General features: G+C 56.5%; 1 protein-coding gene and 1 long non-coding RNA gene across 11 annotated transcripts, besides 9 other annotated features; one reads left to right on the top strand and one right to left on the bottom strand.

Moving 5' to 3' along the window:
* Nucleotides 458–537: an enhancer, noted in NCBI's record as "active region_5298". NCBI's record gives its function as "activates an Ori minimal core promoter by ATAC-STARR-seq in GM12878 lymphoblastoid cells {active_cell/tissue: GM12878}" and the evidence as "EXISTENCE:reporter gene assay evidence [ECO:0000049][PMID:35858748]".
* Nucleotides 1884–1933: an enhancer, noted in NCBI's record as "active region_5297". NCBI's record gives its function as "activates an Ori minimal core promoter by ATAC-STARR-seq in GM12878 lymphoblastoid cells {active_cell/tissue: GM12878}" and the evidence as "EXISTENCE:reporter gene assay evidence [ECO:0000049][PMID:35858748]".
* Nucleotides 2594–2833: a silencer, noted in NCBI's record as "silent region_3787". NCBI's record gives its function as "represses an Ori minimal core promoter by ATAC-STARR-seq in GM12878 lymphoblastoid cells {active_cell/tissue: GM12878}" and the evidence as "EXISTENCE:reporter gene assay evidence [ECO:0000049][PMID:35858748]".
* Nucleotides 4566–4765: a silencer, noted in NCBI's record as "silent region_3786". NCBI's record gives its function as "represses an Ori minimal core promoter by ATAC-STARR-seq in GM12878 lymphoblastoid cells {active_cell/tissue: GM12878}" and the evidence as "EXISTENCE:reporter gene assay evidence [ECO:0000049][PMID:35858748]".
* LRRC32 (leucine rich repeat containing 32) lies at nt 4710–17933 on the top strand. 10 transcript variants are annotated; one of them, NM_001370187.1, is made up of 4 exons: nt 4710–4843; nt 9499–9586; nt 13949–15874; nt 17423–17933. In NM_001370187.1, the coding sequence occupies exons 2-3, from the start codon at nt 9503–9505 to the stop codon at nt 15851–15853; spliced, it is 1989 nt and encodes a 662-aa protein (NP_001357116.1). In that variant the 5' UTR covers nt 4710–4843; nt 9499–9502; the 3' UTR covers nt 15854–15874; nt 17423–17933. The 10 variants fall into 10 exon arrangements, 9 of the variants coding, with proteins under 9 accessions (NP_001357116.1, NP_001357120.1, NP_001122394.1 ...); NR_163259.1 differs by lacking the exon at nt 4710–4843 and adding an exon at nt 5519–5695 and having other exon boundaries at nt 13949–16877; NM_001370188.1 differs by lacking the exon at nt 4710–4843 and adding an exon at nt 5519–5695.
* Nucleotides 4826–4955: a silencer, noted in NCBI's record as "silent region_3785". NCBI's record gives its function as "represses an Ori minimal core promoter by ATAC-STARR-seq in GM12878 lymphoblastoid cells {active_cell/tissue: GM12878}" and the evidence as "EXISTENCE:reporter gene assay evidence [ECO:0000049][PMID:35858748]".
* Nucleotides 8515–8574: an enhancer, noted in NCBI's record as "active region_5296". NCBI's record gives its function as "activates an Ori minimal core promoter by ATAC-STARR-seq in GM12878 lymphoblastoid cells {active_cell/tissue: GM12878}" and the evidence as "EXISTENCE:reporter gene assay evidence [ECO:0000049][PMID:35858748]".
* Nucleotides 9145–9194: an enhancer, noted in NCBI's record as "active region_5295". NCBI's record gives its function as "activates an Ori minimal core promoter by ATAC-STARR-seq in GM12878 lymphoblastoid cells {active_cell/tissue: GM12878}" and the evidence as "EXISTENCE:reporter gene assay evidence [ECO:0000049][PMID:35858748]".
* Nucleotides 10057–10116: a silencer, noted in NCBI's record as "silent region_3784". NCBI's record gives its function as "represses an Ori minimal core promoter by ATAC-STARR-seq in GM12878 lymphoblastoid cells {active_cell/tissue: GM12878}" and the evidence as "EXISTENCE:reporter gene assay evidence [ECO:0000049][PMID:35858748]".
* Nucleotides 10527–10616: an enhancer, noted in NCBI's record as "active region_5294". NCBI's record gives its function as "activates an Ori minimal core promoter by ATAC-STARR-seq in GM12878 lymphoblastoid cells {active_cell/tissue: GM12878}" and the evidence as "EXISTENCE:reporter gene assay evidence [ECO:0000049][PMID:35858748]".
* Nucleotides 11591–18461, bottom strand: LRRC32-AS1 (LRRC32 antisense RNA 1). The gene is made up of 3 exons (NR_199061.1): nt 18301–18461; nt 15763–15849; nt 11591–12828 (listed from the first exon to the last, which is right to left on the bottom strand). It is a non-coding gene; the product is annotated as an LRRC32 antisense RNA 1 (long non-coding RNA).
* Between the last annotated feature and the right edge of the window lie 1399 nt (nt 18462–19860).

Raw genomic sequence — 19860 nt, 5'->3', positions numbered from 1 at the left:
GCATCAGCGCCACTGAGGGTTTGCTGGAGGTGCAGATTCCGGGCCCCACCTCTGACCTACTGAACCAGACTCTCTGGGATGGGGCCTGGCAATCTATTTAGCCAGTCCTCAGGGATTCTGATGCTTGCCAAAGCTTGAGAAGAACTGGGCTAGACCTCTGAAGAGGTTGCTGTGTGAACCCAGGAGCACCCCACGTGAGGCCTGTGGAAGAAAGTGGAGGAGGAGAATAAGACCTTCGGCCCACTGTGTGACCTCGGGCCACGTCCTCACCCTCTCTGGGCCTAGAATCTGTCATATTTCTTGGCATGGGATTAGAGGAGGCTGGGAAGATTCTCTGAAATTTATGGCCACCTCTCCTCCTCTATGCCAGCACCCGGCTCCTGTGAGTGGTGCTTTTAGGAGCTCATGTGTTTGCAGCCACCTCATCCTGGCCTTGGCTCGTTGCTGTTTTTAGTACCTTGGAGATGACACTTTGTGACCTCACAGACCATAACCAAAGCCCAAAGTGATAAACACTGGATCATCAAGAAAAGGGTACATCAGGTTTAACCTTTAAGCAGTTAAAACAGAGGAAAAAGTTGCATGGCTCAAAGGCACAAGACCTCGGGTTCCCAGCAGCCTGGTGCTGCAGAAAGCTGCGGTTTCATGGTCCACAGCTCAGCACAGCATCAGGTTGTGGAGACACTTCTGATCCTGCCCTGCCTGGTCCATCCCCCCAACTCCCTTGGGGCCTCTGGGAGCCTCCAGTCCCTTCAGTCACAGTAGTCACTGACGGGACTCTGAACCAGGAGCCTTTCGTGTGGTGGCTGCGGGGTATATGGGGTCTCACCAGCACCTGCTTCCCCTGCCTTGGTAACGCTAAGTGCTGCCATGAGGGGGTGCCTTGTGCCTCCATCAAGAACAGAAAACCCGCAGAGTAAGTCCTCATTCTCTGGCCACGAATGAGGACTTGGAGCCTGAGGACTTGGATGGGCATGCCCACTGTGTCTGCTGTGTGACCACCAGCAAGTCATAGAGTCCCTGCAGGCTTCATCTCTCTTCTGTAAAAGGGGGGCAGAGATAGGCCTCCCCTCGTCAGATGGCTATGGGCAGGGGATAAGTAAAGAACCTGGCCCCAGGCCTGGTCCTGCAAGCCCTTGATATTCCCACTCAAGAGACCAGCTACTCCCCACCACTGGGCCATTCATAACATCCTCCTGCCCCTCCAGGAGGTGGCCTAGAGCTGGTGTGGCCTGAGTCCATTTGCCCTAGGGAGAAAGGGAGGGGAGTCAGGGGAAGAACTGGGGAACCCAGGGTTCTGCCCTAGAAGGCAGGGCCCAGAAGGGGCTCGTGAGGGAACTCCCAGACTCTCAGGGGCCCATGTGGGTGCTGGGCAGAAGCAGGGAGTGAGGACAGCCACATCTCTGCACTGAGACCTGGCCTGAAAATCAGAAGACCTCGGTTCAATTACTGGCTCCATAGCTGTGCTGTGTGACTTTAGGCAGTTGCTTAACCTCTCTGAGCCTGGTCAGTAATTGAGAATAAAGGTCTCTGAGTTTCCTGGTCAGTCATTGAGAATAAAGACACCTAACTGGAAGGCTGTCTATGGCTGTCTTTACTCTCATTTGCCACATGAGATGAAGGACTGACCCACAGTGAGGGTTCAGCAAACAGCAGTGGAGACTAAATTGTCAGTCTAGGGTGCCATGGTCCTTTCCACTCTGGCTCTACAGTTAGATCAGGACAGCAAGGCTCAGAGAGTTTTAGCAGCTTGTCCAAGGTCACACAGGATGTGCACATCATCACCTTTCTGGGCCACTTGCTCCTGCGTAGGACCCTCAGGTTTCAATCTGGCCTGAGGTGAAATCCTCCCAGGGAGCTTTGAGCCTGACTTGGTGCCCGAGTGGGTTTTTTCATTACAGAATGGTAGTCCCGAGGACACAGGAAGAGATGCATCTCTTATATTTTCACTGACAATGCATGAAGGAATGGAAGCATTTCCACAAAAATATCAACACCATGAAGACTGAGCTGTCTGCTGATGGGCTGCCCAGGAGAACTCCCCATTTCTGGAGGTGTGCCAGCAGAAGCTAAGTGACACTGGATGGGAAGTTGGACTTGGTGGCCTTTAAAAGACCCTCCACATGGCTGCAAGGCAAGCCTGAGTCTGCTCAGTTTCCACCCACTCCTCCTCCTGCAGACTCAAGCTCTGCCTCCTAGACTTGGCCTTCAAGGCCTCTGGACTCAATCATCCTCTGTGCTCTCATCTGTCTCTCATCTGGCCTGGGAGCTCCAAAAAAGTAGGCATTGGGCATTTTTATTCAGCAACTGTCCTGGGCCCACCAGAGGAGAGAGGTCATGTTTACTGAGCAAAGGCCCCCGCGACCAGGAACTTCACACGTGTCATTACAGGCCATCCTCATACACCCGGTACTGTAATTAGTTTCACTTTGCAGGTCAGCAAACCAAGGTCAGGAAGGCTGAGCAACCTGCCAAAAGTCACACAACAACATGACTGCCAAAGAAGTGAAGAGATGAAGGAAGGGGCGCTGAGCCTGTGGGCTTCCCGGCTTTTAGCCCCTGGTCCCCAGAGGCATCTGCAGCAGGTGGGCACGCTTGGTTGCCCATCTGCCTCAAATGTGGGGGAGCCCCATCCGGGCACTGAGTAAGGTGGAACCCCACGAGCTGACTAACCACAACCACAGCCTCTGGGGGCGGGGGAGTGGGAGGTGGGGCACTCACCCCCAGCCCACCATAGCCCCAGCCCCGCCCTCCTGGGCCCTAGCAGAAGCTCTGCCATGGCCCAGTGATTTCTGCTTGGTAGCAGCTCCGGGAAGGGTGAGGCAGTGCTCAGCGAGCCTGGGTCTGGATGGCTGGGAGCTGGTCTGATACACAAGGCCAGGAACTGCCCGAATGATCCAGTCACTCTGCTCATACTGCAGGGCAGCTTCAAAGCACTTTCCTGAACATTTGGCCCCTTGGACAGGGACCTGGAAAAGGAAGCCCACAGGATATAGGAGTATCCACCAACTGCCACAATAAAGGCAGTGAGAAGTTGCCTAACAACCACTGGGTGCAGGCTCCAGCTGGATCCATTGCACTTAGTTCTAGCACCAACTCCAAGTAGTAGCTACTATCTTTCCCACTTTACAGATAGGGGCACTGAGGTTCCATTTGACCAAATGGAGCACTAGAGACCAGAGAGGGGGCTGGATGGACCAGCTAGGACCCTGTGGACATAGATCTGAGGCCTTGGGTGGCTGGGAGGGAAGGGAAAGAGGTTTGGATACCCTTCGCAGGCCCTGCTGAGAGATTCCTTACCTGCACCTCCTGCCCATCCCCTCACTGCAGCTCAGGCCTCCTCCTTAGGGAAGCCTTCCCTGATTTCCTCTTCTAAGACTAGGTCAGGCCCCTATGGCACCTGCTATCATGGCTTGTCCTCTCTGGGTTGACCCCATCTCCCCAGATCCATCTCCACAGTGGACTGAACAGGGGTAAGAAAAGGCAGTAACTGTAGAGACTTCAGGGAATCCCGCTTCTGAGCCCAGCCTTACCCTGATTTGCCACAAGGCCCTGGGTGGTCACTTTCATGCATGTAAAATGGGGCACCCTGCCCCACTCTCAGGGCTGGTGACGATCAGGGAAGAGAAACACTGTGGAAGAGGCCCCTTCTACACTTGGAACCAGGACCTGGAGGACAGCCAGGGCCCCTCTCTTCTAGGGACCCGCATACTAGAGTCCACAGGCAGCAAGGCAGGGTACCTGTGATTTGGTAGGGTCAAGGCATCTAGAAGAGAGGTGGCTTTGGGAAAGATCTGCTTCAACCTCCAATCTAAATGACAATACCGCCACCCCATATTTGCACAGTACTTTAAAAATTCGGGCAAGATAATGCCCAAACTGAATCAGACTTAGCTTTATGAACAGATTGGGCTCAAATCACTGATTCTTATTAGCTGTGTTGACTTTGGACACGCCATTTAACCTTTTCTGAGCCTCAGGTTCCCCAGCTATAAATAGGGACCTTACTAGTCTCAGACAATTGGTTTTCATGTGTACACACTGCCCCCACCCCTAGCCTCAGCTTCTCCATCCGAAAACAGGACTTTGATGGTGCCGTTTCACAGGCTGTTGAAGGGTCCCGCAGATGATGGAGGAGTACGGGTCCAGACACTAGAGCACAATCCGGAGAGGAAAAGTGACCTGCCAGGACCCACCAGAGTGGACGGCTTGGTGCGGGGAACCCCCTCCGCGGCCGCCCCAGGGCCAGCGAAGGGTCATTTCCTTCCGCATTCAGCCCCGCCGTCACCTCGCCTGTTTGCCCCCGCGTTAAGTGCGGCGGCGCCAGCAGCTGGGAAATCGGGGCCAGGCCGGATTTCCTCTGTGGACCTGCGGCTCCTAGAGCCACCGCGCCCCCCTCCGGACCCCGCGGGGCCGCGAACTGCACGTGCGGCGGCCGCTGGGATGGGCCTCGCTCCCACGGCGCTTCCTCTGCAACCCCTCTCCCTCCCGCCCTCTCATCCCCCCACACTGGGCCCCCGCCCCTTCCCGGCCGAGGTCCCAGGGTGGTGAAGATGCTTCGCCGCCCCACCCCACTCCGCCCCCGCCGGCTCCGGATAAACCGAGGCACGGGGCCAGGCGCTAGGACCCCACGGCCTCGCCAGAGGGGGGCGTGGCGGGGCGGGCCGGCGGGAGAGGTATTTAAATTGCAGCCGGAGCGCGGGGGCTCCGGTGGGGCAGCTGAGCGGCCTGCTCCTCCTCGGGCCGTGACCCCGGGGTCTGGCGCGGGGTGGGACCCGGGGGCGGGTTTGCGCAAAATGTGCCGAGACTGCCCGGGAGAGGAGCTGCGGCCGCGCTGAGCCAGGTAGGAGCCGCCGGGCAGGCGAGGCTGGCCGGCCCTCGGGGGGCGCACTGTCGCGCGCCTCTAGCGAGCGCAAGGCGGGGGCTGGTCCCAAGGGACGCCCCCCAAACACTCCCCTCCCGCCATCCCCACTGCGCGCGTGGAGCCGGGGCTGACCCTCCCTCGGTCCCTGGGAGTTCCCCAGCGCTCCTGTCTTGGCGGATCTTTCCCGCAAAGGGGTGAGGCCGGCCTTCCCATTTGACAGCTGGGAAAACAATGGCCTGAAGACCGTGACTTGCCCAGGAACACACAGCTAGGCAAGGGCAAACCGGAATTTGAATTCAGGTTTCCTGCAACGCTCCGATCCCAGCCAGGCGTGGGGCTGCCCATCCCACAGCACTAGATGGCCTGCCCATTTCTCGTAGTGGGGTAGGGGGCACCCACCGCTCTCCAAGGGGCTCTGAACCCAGCCTTCTTCATGGGTGGTAAGATGTGAGGGGCCCCCACCCCCACGCCGAGCTGCCTGAAATTCCGCCATCACAGCCACATTCCTTTGGGTTAAGGTCTAATTCCCCCGTGGGATGCACATGTCTCCAGAACGAGGCTTGCCCTTAGTGATTCACTGCTTGACAGGAACGTCCGCAGCAGCTCTCCCAGGACCCCACTCTGCCAGTAAGTCAGCTGAGGCCGAGAGGAGGGAGAGAGGACCTCAGAGGCCAGACTGTGAGCTAGTCTGCCCTGCTCCTGCGTGTGAGGGGTCGTTGGCAGGGCTTAGGGAAGGAGACCTTGATTTGGTATAGTGGGAACATTTGCTTTGGAGACAGATGAACTGGATTCTGATCGTGACCCTGCTATTTTCTCCTTGTGTGACTTTGGGTAAGTCACTTCTCTGAGCCTCCTTTTCTTCATGGGCAAAAAAAAGACAGTTCTATTGGGGGCAGTCGGCTCAGCATGTGCTGGAGAAAACACAGTATTCAGGTCATGTAGAACTGGATAAATCCCAGCTCCAAAGCCCTTATGAGCTGGGTAACTCTGGGGGTAAGTCACTTCACTTTCCGGAAACTGTTTTCTCATCCGTAAAATGGGAATTACAGTAATTTCCTCAATAGGTGATTGTGAGAATTAAATGAGATGATATAGGTCAAGTGCTTAGAAGACTAACATCCTTAAATGTAGGGGTGGGCTTATTGTGGTAGTAGTCATTGCCCCCCGTACCCCTGCTCTTTCTCTCTCACTCTCTCTCTCTCTCTCACACACACACACACACACACACACACACACACACACACACATTCTTTGGCACTTTTCTGAGTTGGACTCCTGAGAGTCCGACTCTCCTGCCTCCTCTTGCCCAGGCCACTTGTCTGCAGGCTTGGGGCCTCCCCACTGAGCACACCTCACCTGGGATGCTCAGCCCTGCGAGGGTCACTGTGTCAGCTGGGAAGGACAGTGAGGATGCAGGGCACCTTCGCCACCATTCTTTGCCTGATCATCACAATAGTTGGGGTTGGCCAGTGGCAGAACTGGAACCCAGCTGCCTACCCTGCAGACAGGACACTGGGGCACCAAGAAAGGAAGGGACTTACCTTAGGGAGCAGAGCTGGTGAGTGGTGGGCTTTGGATGCAAGCCTGGGTCTAAGTGACACCGTCCTCCTTTTTGAGAGAGAGTAGTCTTTAAATGCTACACCCTGTACTTGGGCACCACTGAGGAGGGCCCACAGCTGAGGGGCCCTTCCCGTCAGATGCCAGGACAGAGTGCCCATGTGCTGCAGGGACGATCCCTTCTGGATGTGCACAGGGCCACCTTGGGGATAGAGTGGGGTTTGGCAGAGGAAGGGGAAATAAGGGCCTAGGACCCTTCCTTGTCCTCACCTGGCACTCACCACTCAGTCCACTGCAGCTGAGCTTCTGCCCTGATTTTGCCACTTGTTCACTAGTCTTTAGTGAGTACCTACTTAGTAGGCCCCTGTTCCCACATGATAAGAAATAAATGATGAGGAAATGATAAATGTGGGAAAACAATGACATGTGTGAGGAGCTGAGGAAGAGCATTCAGGGAGAGGAAACTGCAGGAGCAAAGGCCCTGTGGCAGGAATGAATTTGCTGTGTTGAAGGAACAGCAGGAAAGCTGGAATGTGGTGAGGGAAGGGAAAATGGGCAAGAGTCAGAGAGGAGACTGTGGATAGCCTGGATTTTCTTGGAGATTTTCAAACAGAAGAGGTTTAGGATCTGACAGATGATTTTATATTATCACTCTGGCTGCTAGGTACAGGACAGATTATAAGAGGTCAGGGTGCTGTGGTCAAGGCCAGGATTGGGGTGGCGTCTCGGTCTGTGGCAGTGATAAGAGGGAAGTAGGAAGATCCGGGGTCTCTTTCAGGGAGAGCAGTCAGAGCCCACTGACGGCATGGATGGGTGAAGGGAACGTTGCAGAGAGGTGAAGGGAGAGCCAAGGAGAACTGCTCTCAGTAACGACCCCATGTCACCGAGACTCCTAGTGTCGGTTTTCTGTCCGCTGCTGACCTGTTGTGTGCTGTGAGATGCATCTTAAAGGATGGTGAGCCCCTCTCTAGGGGCACTTCCCATGGGAGGGGGTGGGGCCCAGTAGCCACGGAGGGCTTGGTGCTGTGCTCACTGGAAGCTCAGGGGCTCTGGGAGGACTGGAGGACATAGTCCAGACTTGGGGAACCAAAGAAGGCCTCTTGGCCCATCTAAGCTGGGACCCCAAGGATGAGGAGGTCTTTAGCAGAAGAGGAGAGGGGAGAAAGTGAAGGTTTGGGGCAGTGAAAATCTGCTCAGGGAACTGAAGGAAATATGAGGTGTCCAGAACCCAGAATGTGAGAGGGGACACCGGGGAAGCAGGCTGGAGAGCAGAGCTGGCCAGGCAGGGCATGCTCCCCAGTGGCCTGGAAGGCCCTGCCGGAGGGGTTTTCACTCAGTTCTGAATATGCTAACTTTCTAACGGGCGGTGGCGTTCTGCTTTTTAAACAGCAGAACAAAGTTTCCTGTGAAAGCACAACCTGTAATGCAGGTGAGAGCAGAGCAGCTGCAGGGGCAGCGCCTGTGGCCCTGAGGGGAGCCAGGGAATAGGGTTTACCGGGTCCGGCTGTGGTCTGTGCGCCTTCAAGAGAGATGGGATTCAGAGCAGCCATCTTCGTCCATAGCTCATCACTAGCGGGTTCCAACAGTCAAAGACACTGCCCTCAAATGCCCTGTGAATGCCTTTTCTCCTGCAGCATCCTTCAGAATCGCGGTTCAGCACTCACTGAGGGAGCACCCACTGTGGGAGGCCTGGGAGTGTGGATTTGAAGGGCACAGACCCAGGAGCCAGACTCACCTGGGCCGGTGGCTTGTTCACCGTGTGACCTCGGGCATAGTACCTAAGCTCTCTGAGACTTCTTTTTCCCTTCTGTAAAATGATGATGGAACCAAGTCATTGAATTTTTGTGAGGATGGAATGAGTTCATGCCTAGAAAGTGCTGAGGAGAGGGCCTACTGCATAATGGAGGCTCTGTAGGTGGCATCTCGTTTGATTCTCAACAAAAACTTGGCATGGCTGCCATTAACCTCAAATGAGGAGACTGAGGCTCAGAGAGGTGAAGCGACTTGTAAGATCACACAGCAGAAAGGTAGAGGAGACAAGAGGGAGCAGTCAGATGTGGGTGACTGTGCGCCTGGTGCTCTTGGAAGGCTTTCTGTGTCCCTCTTTAAGACTCTCTGTCTGTATCACCGTCACTGTCACTTCTTTTTCGTGTTCATTTGTTTTTTGAGTTCCCAGTTCCCAGCACAGAGCCAGACATGAGGAGGTATTCAGTAAAGGTGTGAATGAATGAATGAAATTCATGGGTGGATTTGTACATCCCTAGCACTTGGCTGATGTCCTTAGTGAGGGAGTGAGTGAGCCTCCAGCAGCACTGGGATTTAACCCTGCTAAGGGCCTGTGCGGTCCCCTTAGCCCCACCCCTGGCTGCTCTTAGAGGGAAGGGCTGGCCCAGGAGGCCGGAGTGTGGCTTCAGTGAAAGTACAGGGCCTGCCAGGCTGCTCCTGGGGAAGTCCGCAGAGCAGTGCCGGGGCAGCCAGGCCTCCTGTGGGACTTCCTGCCAAGGCCCGGGCCCAGCCCTTGAACAATGGCAAGGGCTCGAGAATCAGAGAATCAAAAGGAAAAGGGCAAAATAAAGGTGGGGGAGTGGGCAGAAAACGAGGAATTGCATGTGGGGACTGAAGAGCTGGTACGGAGGACTTGTGTGGCCTGGGTGGAAATGTAGTCAGAGGCCCACCCTCCAAACCCCCTCTACATCTCCATGCCCCCAGTCCCTGGCCCTGAGCATGGCCTAGGGTAACCCTTAGGGTCTGTCAGCCTTCTGTGCATCCCCTCCAGGCTGTCTTCCGCCAGGTGGGGTCTCTTGAAAACCCCCGTCTGACCAAGTCACCTGCCGCTTAAAACTCTTGCTTCCCCTGGGTAATGGGCGGCTCCTTGGCCTGGGTGAGAGGCCTACTATGATGGGCTGCAGGCCCATTTCCCACCTGGCTCTCTGCCCTGCTCAAAGCATCTTTATTCCAGCTCCAGCCGTGCTCTGGGGTTCCCTGAGGGCAGGCACAGAATGGGTGGGAGTGGGGGCTGGCAGTGGGAAGGAGCCAGTGGGCTTACAGTGTTCCCCTTTCCTCTCCGCCTTACACAGAGCCATGAGACCCCAGATCCTGCTGCTCCTGGCCCTGCTGACCCTAGGCCTGGCTGCACAACACCAAGACAAAGTGCCCTGTAAGATGGTAAGATGCTCTGCCCAGACAGGGTGAGGACCACCCCCACCTCCCTGCCCTAGGGTGTGCTAGTGCCCCAGCCCCAGAAGCCAGAAGTTAGAAGAGTCAGGAGAGGAAAGGGAATGTACCTTGCATTTAATGAGCACCTACTAGAATGTTTAAACACCTTATTTACCCACAGTCCTGCCAGGTAAGCACCATTATTCTCATTTTGCAAAGGAGGAGACTGAGGCTTGGAGAGATTGGGCCTTGTCCAAGGTCATTCAGCTGGGAACAGTGAGGCTGATATTACACTGTATTCCCCCAAGCTGTCCCCACAGAGCAGTAGGCCCAGCTAGGGGATCTAGAATATATATATATGTGTGGGGAATTTGGGGTAGGCCAGCTGGGAGGGGCTCCTCTGTGCTCATCCCTCTTGGAGACAAATCCCCTTCCAAGCTGGGCTCCTTGACTTGGGACTGCCCGCTGGAGTGCCTCTCACTTCTTAGTGCCCAGATCAAATGCTGCCATCTCCAGGAAGCCTCCCCAGCCCCTCCCAGGCTGGCCTAGTCTGATCACACCTTCCTCTGGGTTCCTGCGGTCCCCAGGCTTCCCCCTATCTCAATACTGAGAAGACTGAACATGTGGGGTGGTTGGTGAAAGGGTCCAAGCCTGTCTCACCTGCCAGACCATGAACTTCCCTAGGGCAAGGACCAAGTTTGATTTGCTTCTATTCCTTTTTCCTGTCCCAAGCCAGGGAAACTAGCCCTAAAGTTCTTGTGACTCTATGAGATACAGGGCAAAGAGAACACCTAGATCCACTTGTAAGGCCGGGCAGTCACTGAGGCCAGAGCCTGGCTGGGGAAAGGGCAGGGCCTCCGGAAGCCCCTCTTGGACCTGAGACTCGAAGAAGCTTATGACACAGAACCGGCAGCTGCTTCAGGAGGCAGGAAGTGCAGGCAGCTGCCTGCCCGCAGCCCTTCCCTGGGGGTGCAATGTCTCCTGTTGCCACCACCTTTCTTGCTCTTCAGAGCCCTTCTAAGATTCCCGGAGCCCAGAATTGCGGGCAGAGAAGGCCTCAGATGTCACCAAATACAAACGCACATTCTACCTCAGGGAGACGAGGCTCAGAGGGGAAAGTCCTTGACTACCCAACAGGCAGAGGGGAAGCGGGTGAATTTTGGAGTCTGGGGAAATGAGATAAGAGATAGGAAAGCACTTTCTGAACCAGCATGGGAATAATACACACGGGAAGTAAGGAGAAGATGTGTGACCCACCAGGGACCTACAGGATTCGAACCCAGCTGCCTTTGCCACTGTTCACTGCCTGGTGCCTCTCCCTACTCTGCTTTCCTCCCATGATCAGGTGGTGAAATGGAGTTGGATGGCAAGTCTTTGCTTCTGAAAAGGAAGCTGGGCAGTGGGTGTCCTGATAGCCCAGGACAGTGGGTGGGAGCTCTAAACTCTGGTCAAGGGCCAATTCCTCCAATTCCCTCCGACGGTAAGTCAGGCAATGCTGGGAGCTCAGAGCTGAAGGAGGCATGAAGACCCTGGAAGTGGAGCTCTGAGCACCGCCCTGGACTTCAAGCTTCTTCCTGGACTGGACTGGAGATCTGGGCATCCCAGTGCAGCCCTGCCCACCATCAGGCCCCCAGGCTTCTAGAGCAGGGGTCTTGGGCCCCTGAATGGAAAGCCAGTCTTGGGCTGTGGGCTTGGCAAACTTTGTGTCCTGGATCAAGTCTCAGGGGCTGGTGCCCCAGGGAGCCTTTGCCTATCCAGAGGCAGTATGCCTCTGCACTTGCCCGGGGGTAACACGCGGGGCACAGCACGGTGCCCCCCACACTGTAACAGTCAGTAAGTGGGTCCATGATGCTCTTTGCTGTGCTGACCAGCTGAGGGCCCAGTGGTCAGAACTTGGCTGGCACCAATAGGAAAAGGAATTTGCAAATGGGAGTTTTGAGCCCCTGACTGTCTGATCTTGGGCAGCCCACTCCCCTTAGCCTCAGTTTCGTTAGGGGTACAATAGGAACAGGGTGAACAATGCCTGGGAAGATTTAATGGGGTAGGGGGTCTCTGCACTCAGCACGCAGCCTGACACAGCTGGGGCTCCATCACAGGTCATTTTGTTGTTTCTGCTTTAAGTAAGGAATGCCCCAGGGGGTAAGGGCTGTGAGGAGGAGGCTATGTTTAGTGGCCCCTGCAGACAGAGAGGTTGTGAGGGAGGAAGGGCAAGGATGGGCAAGGCAGCTGGGCAGGTTTCAGGTTCACACAGGTGCCCAACTGACGGGGCATCCCTGGGCCTCCTGAGGCCCCTGTGAAGCTGCCTCCCTTGGAGGCTACATGGAGTCACTGTGCTGCATGGAGTAAGAAGAGCCACACGGAGGCCTGAGGCTGGGCAGGTCTCTTCCTCCCCCTACTCACCTTGGGGCTCTCAGGAGGAAGCGCAGAGCTGGACCAGGGGAGGAACACACCGGCTTGTGTTCCCTCCCTACCAGCTCAGCCACTGGCTCACTGTGAATTCACGCAAGTCACTGCCATCTTCAGGCCTCAGTGTTCACATCTGGGAAGTGGGTCAGCTGAACTCTTCTTGCTCTACCCGTCTTTGACTATATTTTGAAAATATCAATTATGCATTTTCTTTCCTCCTAGAGAAGTGATTGATTCAGTGCCTCAGACCTTTACTAAACTGATGATGTCTGGGACTCATTCATTAGGAAAAATTGACTTGCTAGTCAGGTCCAAGGCATGCACATCCACCAAACCAGTCCCTGTTTGCTCTGAGCTCGCTGTCTAGCAGGTCCTCACACACACAGCCACAATTCAGCGGGGCAAAGCTCTGAGAGGAAGCACAGTCAGGGAGGGCTCCCTGGTGGAGGAGGCCCTGAAGCTCAGTGTGAAGAGTTCATGTGTGGATCTGGTTGGGGATGGCATAACCAGCTCAGGGAGCAGGCCCCAGCAGTGGGTGTGGGAGCGCATGATGGGCAGTGGTCAGCTGTGGTCACTGCATGTGGGCTGGGGTGGGAGGTGGGGGACAGGTTGGCAGGGGCTACAAACAGCCTCGAAGGCCCTGCTGGGGATCCTGGACTTCACCGTGGAGAAGTTTAAGCCAAGCTGCCTCATTGTCAGAGTAGAGCTTTTGAGCAGTTGTCAGGCATTTAGCAGTGAGTGGGTCAGAACGGGTTGGCGGAGACAGAAGCTGGGGGCGGTGAGCCTGAGCCCGGTGATTGTGGAAGTCAGACCTTTTTCTGGGAAAGGCTGGGGTTCCTGGAGGCCTGGAAGAGAAGAGGGAGACCTGCATTTGCACAGGAAGAATTTTGGTCCCAGAAGGCACATCTGTGGAAGAACAAGAGTTCGGCCTTTTGTTGTTAAAAAACCTGGGTTCAAATCCCAGCTCTGCTCCTCACCAGCTGGGCAATCCTGGCACCTCCCTTCCCCTCCCTGAGCCTAGATTTCTGTAAATAGGGGTGATCGTATCAGATGGGCAGGCTGTGGTAAAGACCAATGGGACCATGGGCCTGAAAGTATTAACCAAGATGTCAAATGCTGAGTGGCTGCTGGGGAAGAACGTAAGAAAACAGAGTGGTTATGTGACTTCCTGGAGGTCGCACAGCACAAACACAGTCTCATCACCAAAGACTGTGGATTTGGCTCTGGCCATCTTTTCCCTGGCCCTTCCCACCTCCAGGGGCCCGGTCCCCTGACCCAGCCTGGGAAGAAAGCCACCTCCTAGGAGGTAACAGCAACAGAGAGGAAGCCACATCTCGGAAGCATCCACAAGGAAGGCAGGCCCCAGGACCCAGGCTCTGCCCATGACACGAGAGCCTGAATGAGGTCTGAGGCAGGGAGGCCAAGATAAAAACTGATGACAGAGCACAAATTACAGTTTTCCCTTTTGGAAACATTTCTCCCAAAGTGGAGAAATTCCCATCTACCACCAGAAATTTAACTATCTGTGCCCATAGAAGGGACCTAGGACATAGAATCAGGAGCCCTGGGTCCCAGCTCTGCCCTGCTGCTCACTGGCTTGGGGTCACTCTGTGGGATATATGGCTGTTTCCTGTAAGAGGGGTAATAATAAGTACAGGGTTTCTCTTTGTTAGTTTATTTGTCCTTCTATCTGTCTATCATCTCTCCATCTGTCCACCCATGGAACCTTCATCGAGTTCCTTCCTTAATGCCCATTACTGCGCTGGGTGCCCGAGATGGGGCAGGGAGCCGGATGGGTCATCCAGGCATGGGGTGATCAGGCTGCGGTGGGGGAAAGTTGAGCATTCTGGGAGTCCATGGGAGAAGGGTTCCCCAGCCAGGCAGGGTTCCTGGATAAACATGTCTGGTTTCATCCCCTACCGTGCCCACTTATGCCAGCTGTCTCCCCACCCTACCCCTCCCCAGGTGGACAAGAAGGTCTCGTGCCAGGTTCTGGGCCTGCTCCAGGTCCCCTCGGTGCTCCCGCCAGACACTGAGACCCTTGATCTATCTGGGAACCAGCTGCGGAGTATCCTGGCCTCACCCCTGGGCTTCTACACAGCACTTCGTCACCTGGACCTGAGCACCAATGAGATCAGCTTCCTCCAGCCAGGAGCCTTCCAGGCCCTGACCCACCTGGAGCACCTCAGCCTGGCTCACAACCGGCTGGCGATGGCCACTGCGCTGAGTGCTGGTGGCCTGGGCCCCCTGCCACGCGTGACCTCCCTGGACCTGTCTGGGAACAGCCTGTACAGCGGCCTGCTGGAGCGGCTGCTGGGGGAGGCACCCAGCCTGCATACCCTCTCACTGGCGGAGAACAGTCTGACTCGCCTCACCCGCCACACCTTCCGGGACATGCCTGCGCTGGAGCAGCTTGACCTGCATAGCAACGTGCTGATGGACATCGAGGATGGCGCCTTCGAGGGTCTGCCCCGCCTGACCCATCTCAACCTCTCCAGGAATTCCCTCACCTGCATCTCCGACTTCAGCCTCCAGCAGCTGCGGGTGCTAGACCTGAGCTGCAACAGCATCGAGGCCTTTCAGACGGCCTCCCAGCCCCAGGCTGAGTTCCAGCTCACCTGGCTTGACCTGCGGGAGAACAAACTGCTCCATTTCCCCGACCTGGCCGCGCTCCCGAGACTCATCTACCTGAACTTGTCCAACAACCTCATCCGGCTCCCCACAGGGCCACCCCAGGACAGCAAGGGCATCCACGCACCTTCCGAGGGCTGGTCAGCCCTGCCCCTCTCAGCCCCCAGCGGGAATGCCAGCGGCCGCCCCCTTTCCCAGCTCTTGAATCTGGATTTGAGCTACAATGAGATTGAGCTCATCCCCGACAGCTTTCTTGAGCACCTGACCTCCCTGTGCTTCCTGAACCTCAGCAGAAACTGCTTGCGGACCTTTGAGGCCCGGCGCTTAGGCTCCCTGCCCTGCCTGATGCTCCTTGACTTAAGCCACAATGCCCTGGAGACACTGGAACTGGGCGCCAGAGCCCTGGGGTCTCTGCGGACGCTGCTCCTACAGGGCAATGCCCTGCGGGACCTGCCCCCATACACCTTTGCCAATCTGGCCAGCCTGCAGCGGCTCAACCTGCAGGGGAACCGAGTCAGCCCCTGTGGGGGGCCAGATGAGCCTGGCCCCTCCGGCTGTGTGGCCTTCTCCGGCATCACCTCCCTCCGCAGCCTGAGCCTGGTGGATAATGAGATAGAGCTGCTCAGGGCAGGGGCCTTCCTCCACACCCCACTGACTGAGCTGGACCTTTCTTCCAATCCTGGGCTGGAGGTGGCCACGGGGGCCTTGGGAGGCCTGGAGGCCTCCTTGGAGGTCCTGGCACTGCAGGGCAACGGGCTGATGGTCCTGCAGGTGGACCTGCCCTGCTTCATCTGCCTCAAGCGGCTCAATCTTGCCGAGAACCGCCTGAGCCACCTTCCCGCCTGGACACAGGCTGTGTCACTGGAGGTGCTGGACCTGCGAAACAACAGCTTCAGCCTCCTGCCAGGCAGTGCCATGGGTGGCCTGGAGACCAGCCTCCGGCGCCTCTACCTGCAGGGGAATCCACTCAGCTGCTGCGGCAATGGCTGGCTGGCAGCCCAGCTGCACCAGGGCCGTGTGGACGTGGACGCCACCCAGGACCTGATCTGCCGCTTCAGCTCCCAGGAGGAGGTGTCCCTGAGCCACGTGCGTCCCGAGGACTGTGAGAAGGGGGGACTGAAGAACATCAACCTCATCATCATCCTCACCTTCATACTGGTCTCTGCCATCCTCCTCACCACGCTGGCCGCCTGCTGCTGCGTCCGCCGGCAGAAGTTTAACCAACAGTATAAAGCCTAAAGAAGCCGGGAGACACTCTAGGTCAGTGGGGGAGCCTGAGGTACAGAGAAGAGTGAGGACTGACTCAAGGTCACACAGTGATCCGGGATCCCAGAACTCTGGTCTCCAAATTACAGCCCAGGACACCTTTCTCTGCCGCCTGCTGCATCAGTGGGTGACCCCCTTCCCGGGCTGCACTTTGGGTCCAGCTGTGGAAGCCAGAAGTTGGGCGGTTTCAGGGACAGCCGAGAATAATGTTGACCTGTCAGATCAACAAATCTTCACTGAGCATGTATTTTGTGCCACACCCTGCTCTGGGCACTGGGAATGCTGGGAAATGAGATACATTCCCGCCCTCAAGAATCTCCCAGTCTGGTAGGAGAGAGTGCTGCAGAGCCACGTGGCCGCCACGCAGTGTGCTTAGGGCCTGAGGTGTGAAAGCCCAGGGCTCCAGAGCTCGGCAGGCCCCGCTGGTTTGGTGCGGTGAGTCCTGCCCCGGCTGTGCCAGGGTGAGGGAGGGCCAAGCCCAGGAGGATTTGTCTGAGACATTTCCAAGCAGACTGTTTGTCACGTCTTCTGAGAATGACTTTCAGTCTCTCTGAAAATGAAAAGCTTAGGACCAGAAGAGAGAATTGGAGCTGTACGAGTGTGTCTCGGATCTGGTGTTGTTAGGTGGGCCACGGCGGCTCCAGCAGGGTCTGGTTAAGGGGTCCAGCCCAGCACTGGACCATTCCGTCTCCTGCTCTGGACTTGCCCTCTCCCTTCCTGGCACTCTCATGTTGCATACCCTGACCCCAGTGCTGCTCTAAGCACCGTCCCTGCCCAGCCCCACTTCTCCATCGCAGCCCCACCTTGGCTGCTGAGCCAGGAGCTAAAACCTTAGATATCTGGTTCTGTTTTGCACCCAGCTTGGCAGATGTGGATTTGAATCCAAGCCTTGTGTCTGCCCCTATGTGACAGCTCTATATTTTATCCCCGTTTTATAAAAGAGGAAACTGAAGTTCTGAAAATCTCCTTCCAGGGCCCCAGCTAACTAATGCCATAGGTGAGATTCAAACCTTCATCCTTCTGTCTCCAGGGCCTGATCTTTACCACTGCAGGGGCTGCAGGCCGTTAAGTGGACAGGAAGTGGCCCCACATAGCCCGAGCAGGGTCTGGAAGCATCCTGTGCTGTGCACACCTGCTCTCTCCTCTCTCCCAGGCAGGCAGCTGCAGGCGCTCTCCTCCTTCTCTGCCTGTTTCCCTCCTCCCTTCCTTTCCACCCTGGTGTGGGTTCTCCTGTTCTCTCTGTGCTCTTGCATTCTCTCATTCCCTTTTCCTCTATTGAGCAGAGCCTGGAGTTTGAGACTATGGAATCCAACCTCCCCATTGCACAGATGGGGAAACTGAGGCTTAGGAAGAGAATGAAACTTGTGGAGAGCTTATACAGAGCCTCTGGGGGAAAAAAGAGCCCTTATTTGTGGGGTGAGATTGGGGGTTGGACCAGAGTGATGTCCTCTCTCAGCTATCACATCACAAGATAATGCTGGCTCCAAACTTCCTTTCTGTGCCTCATCATGCAAGGATCTTTTTTCCCTCTTACAAAAACAGGTAAAAAGCCTCACCCAGATGACCCCCATCCCTCATACCATGGAGTCATGAGCTGTCTGGGAAGAATGGACGTGCTGGGACCAACTCAAGACCTTGTTTTGCTGTCTTCATCATCTTACCTGTGCTTGGCCCACAGTCTGGCTCATGATGTGGGCTCAGTAATGTGCGAGAAAGTGAAAATGCCACTCTCTCCACCCCATTTTACAGAGGAGAACACCAAGGCCCAGAGGAAGTTAAGGGAGAGTCAATGGGCAGAGCCAGGGCTAGGCCCTGGTGGTGTGTGGAGCACCCAGGCAGACCCAGTCCTGGTTGGGATCACACCCACGGGTGCTACTGCACGTAACACTCCTCCTTAGGCCTGGAGGCCAAGGTGTGGGTCCCCACGCCTGATCTTTGAAAACACTACACAGGGCTGCTGTCACTTCCCAGGGCCCAGGCCTCAGCCCAGGCCTCGGGACCAACTCTTTGTATAACCTACCTGAATGTATTAAAAACTAATTTTGGAGAAGCAGTGTGGCTGCCAGCTTCCTCTTTGCAATCCGCTTCATTGCGTCCACTAGAACCCTGCCGCTCAATCCCATTACGGTCGTTCAATCATCATGGCAAATCCCTGGGGACACTGAGACTCTGGGCCAGCACCACCCTGGACCTTGAAGCCGCAGCCACTAGCATGGCCCCTGCTACACCTCTTGCCCCACACTCAACAGGCGACTGTGCTCCCCACCCCAGGGCTGAGAGGCTGAGGGCTTCCGTTTGTTTCCTTCCTGCTACAGCTACAGGCCCCCTCCCCTTCTCTGTGCTCAGCCCTCTGTGCCCTATCTCAGAGGCTGCACTGCCCCTCCTCCTTGGGGTCCCCAGCCCCGTCCTCTCTCCCTTACCCCGTCATGCTCTCTTCTGCCTCCAGCCTCTCCCTGTTTACGTCTTCCTCTCAGACTTCAGCTGGACTCAAGTCTTGTCCGTCTTAAAAATAGTGAGAAGCCCCTCAGCCACTTTCCCCTTCGTCCTCCCACTCTTCACAGGCCAGGTTCTTGGTAAAGTCACTTCCCTTCCCGCCCCTCCCGTTCTCAACCCGCCTGGAGCTGCCTTCAGCCCCTCCCAGCTCCATGCTGCCCTTGCTAACAGCGTCAAGGGTATCCTTTGCCAAACTCAGCACGCTTTTCAGACCTCCTCTCCCTAGGCCCTGTGCAGCAGGCCCCCCACCCATACCCCTGCTGGGCATGCTCTCCCCACAGCTGTGATCCCACACAGGAAGCCATCTCCTCCCTCCCAGGCCACTCCTTTTCAGGCCACTCTTTGCTCATCTTCCTTGAGCCAGCTTTAAGTGGTGATGGCCAGGGCTCCATCCTAAGCCCTTTTCCCTTGGGAACACTATGGCCTCATTGCTGTAAACACCCCATTGCTCTGATGGCCCACATCTCTGTCTCCAGCCCCACCTCTCCTGAAAGTCCAATTCTGCTACCCAGAGGCCTTCCCAGGTAGAGGGCTAAAGGTCCCCAGGGACTGGAGAATTCAGTGATCAGCCAGGCTGCAGATCAAGGTTGAACTTGGAAGAAAACCACACCTGGTTCCTGGCTTGGAGTTGGAGGGTGAGTGTCGGGTGTGGGACAGAAGCAGCCTCACCTGGGTAGGGGAGCACTGAGAGGCGTGACAGGCCAGGGCAGAGCATGCAGAGCAGGGGGTGCTTATTCCTCTGGCCCTCACACCTTCCATTTCGCCCTGTCAGCAGCCTGGCACTGCGCCTTTGCCCTTCCCTTCCCTGACTGCCTCTCCCCCAAGCTCCTGCTCAGTGATGCTTCTCCTGCCCACCCCGAGTCAGCCTGGACCCCTCCCCTTGGCCCTGCAGCCCCTGGGCCCAGCGTTGGCAGCTCTGCCTCCTGGAGATTCTTCCGTTTCTCTGGTCCGTGCCCTCTCACCTCCCCATTCCTGCTCCTGGCTCCCAGTCTGCAAAGGGAAATTCTAAACACCTATTTCATGGGGTAGGGCTGGGGGAGAAAGGAGAGAGCCCCACCCCCTGGCACACGATAGGTGCTCCGTGAAGGCCTAAGGGGAAAGCAGGAGCTTGGGCTGAGCTCGCCTAGGGTCTGCGGGCCTCTGCTCCAGCAGGGAGCCCAGCAGGCCCCTGACCCCTTTTCCTGACAAACAGGGAGTTTGCTCACCTGGCCAAGACCCCCGGTGAGGCAGAAATTCCTGTTTTCAGCCAAACGTGGACACAGCAGCCAACTAGGTCATCAGAACATCCAGCTTCCCGAGCTCTTAGCTTGCAGGGAGAGGGGAGGCCCTGCCACTCCCAGGTCACAGTCAGCCTGAGGTGCAGGGCCCAACTCCTGGGGTTCCATGCGCTGGCGTGGCACTCCACCAGGAACGGGTCCCGGGACGCGCCAGCAACTCACCCTCTCAGACCCACAGGCTGGCCACATCCTCCAGGATCTGGGACCCAC

This window comes from Homo sapiens, chromosome 11, assembly GCF_000001405.40.
Source record: "Homo sapiens chromosome 11, GRCh38.p14 Primary Assembly".
Lineage (NCBI taxonomy): Eukaryota > Metazoa > Chordata > Mammalia > Primates > Hominidae > Homo > Homo sapiens.
The sequence above is the reverse complement of the archived record's forward strand: the minus strand, read 5'-3'. Positions and strand labels throughout refer to the sequence as shown.

Bases quoted from the DNA above. Each gene is read 5' to 3' on its own strand.
- LRRC32 (NM_001370187.1), top strand. From the start codon at position 9,503: ATGAGACCCCAGATCCTGCTGCTCCTGGCCCTGCTGACCCTAGGCCTG. The intron at 9,587-13,948 runs GTAAGATGCTCT...ACCCCTCCCCAG, and splicing joins ACAAAGTGCCCTGTAAGATG to GTGGACAAGAAGGTCTCGTG.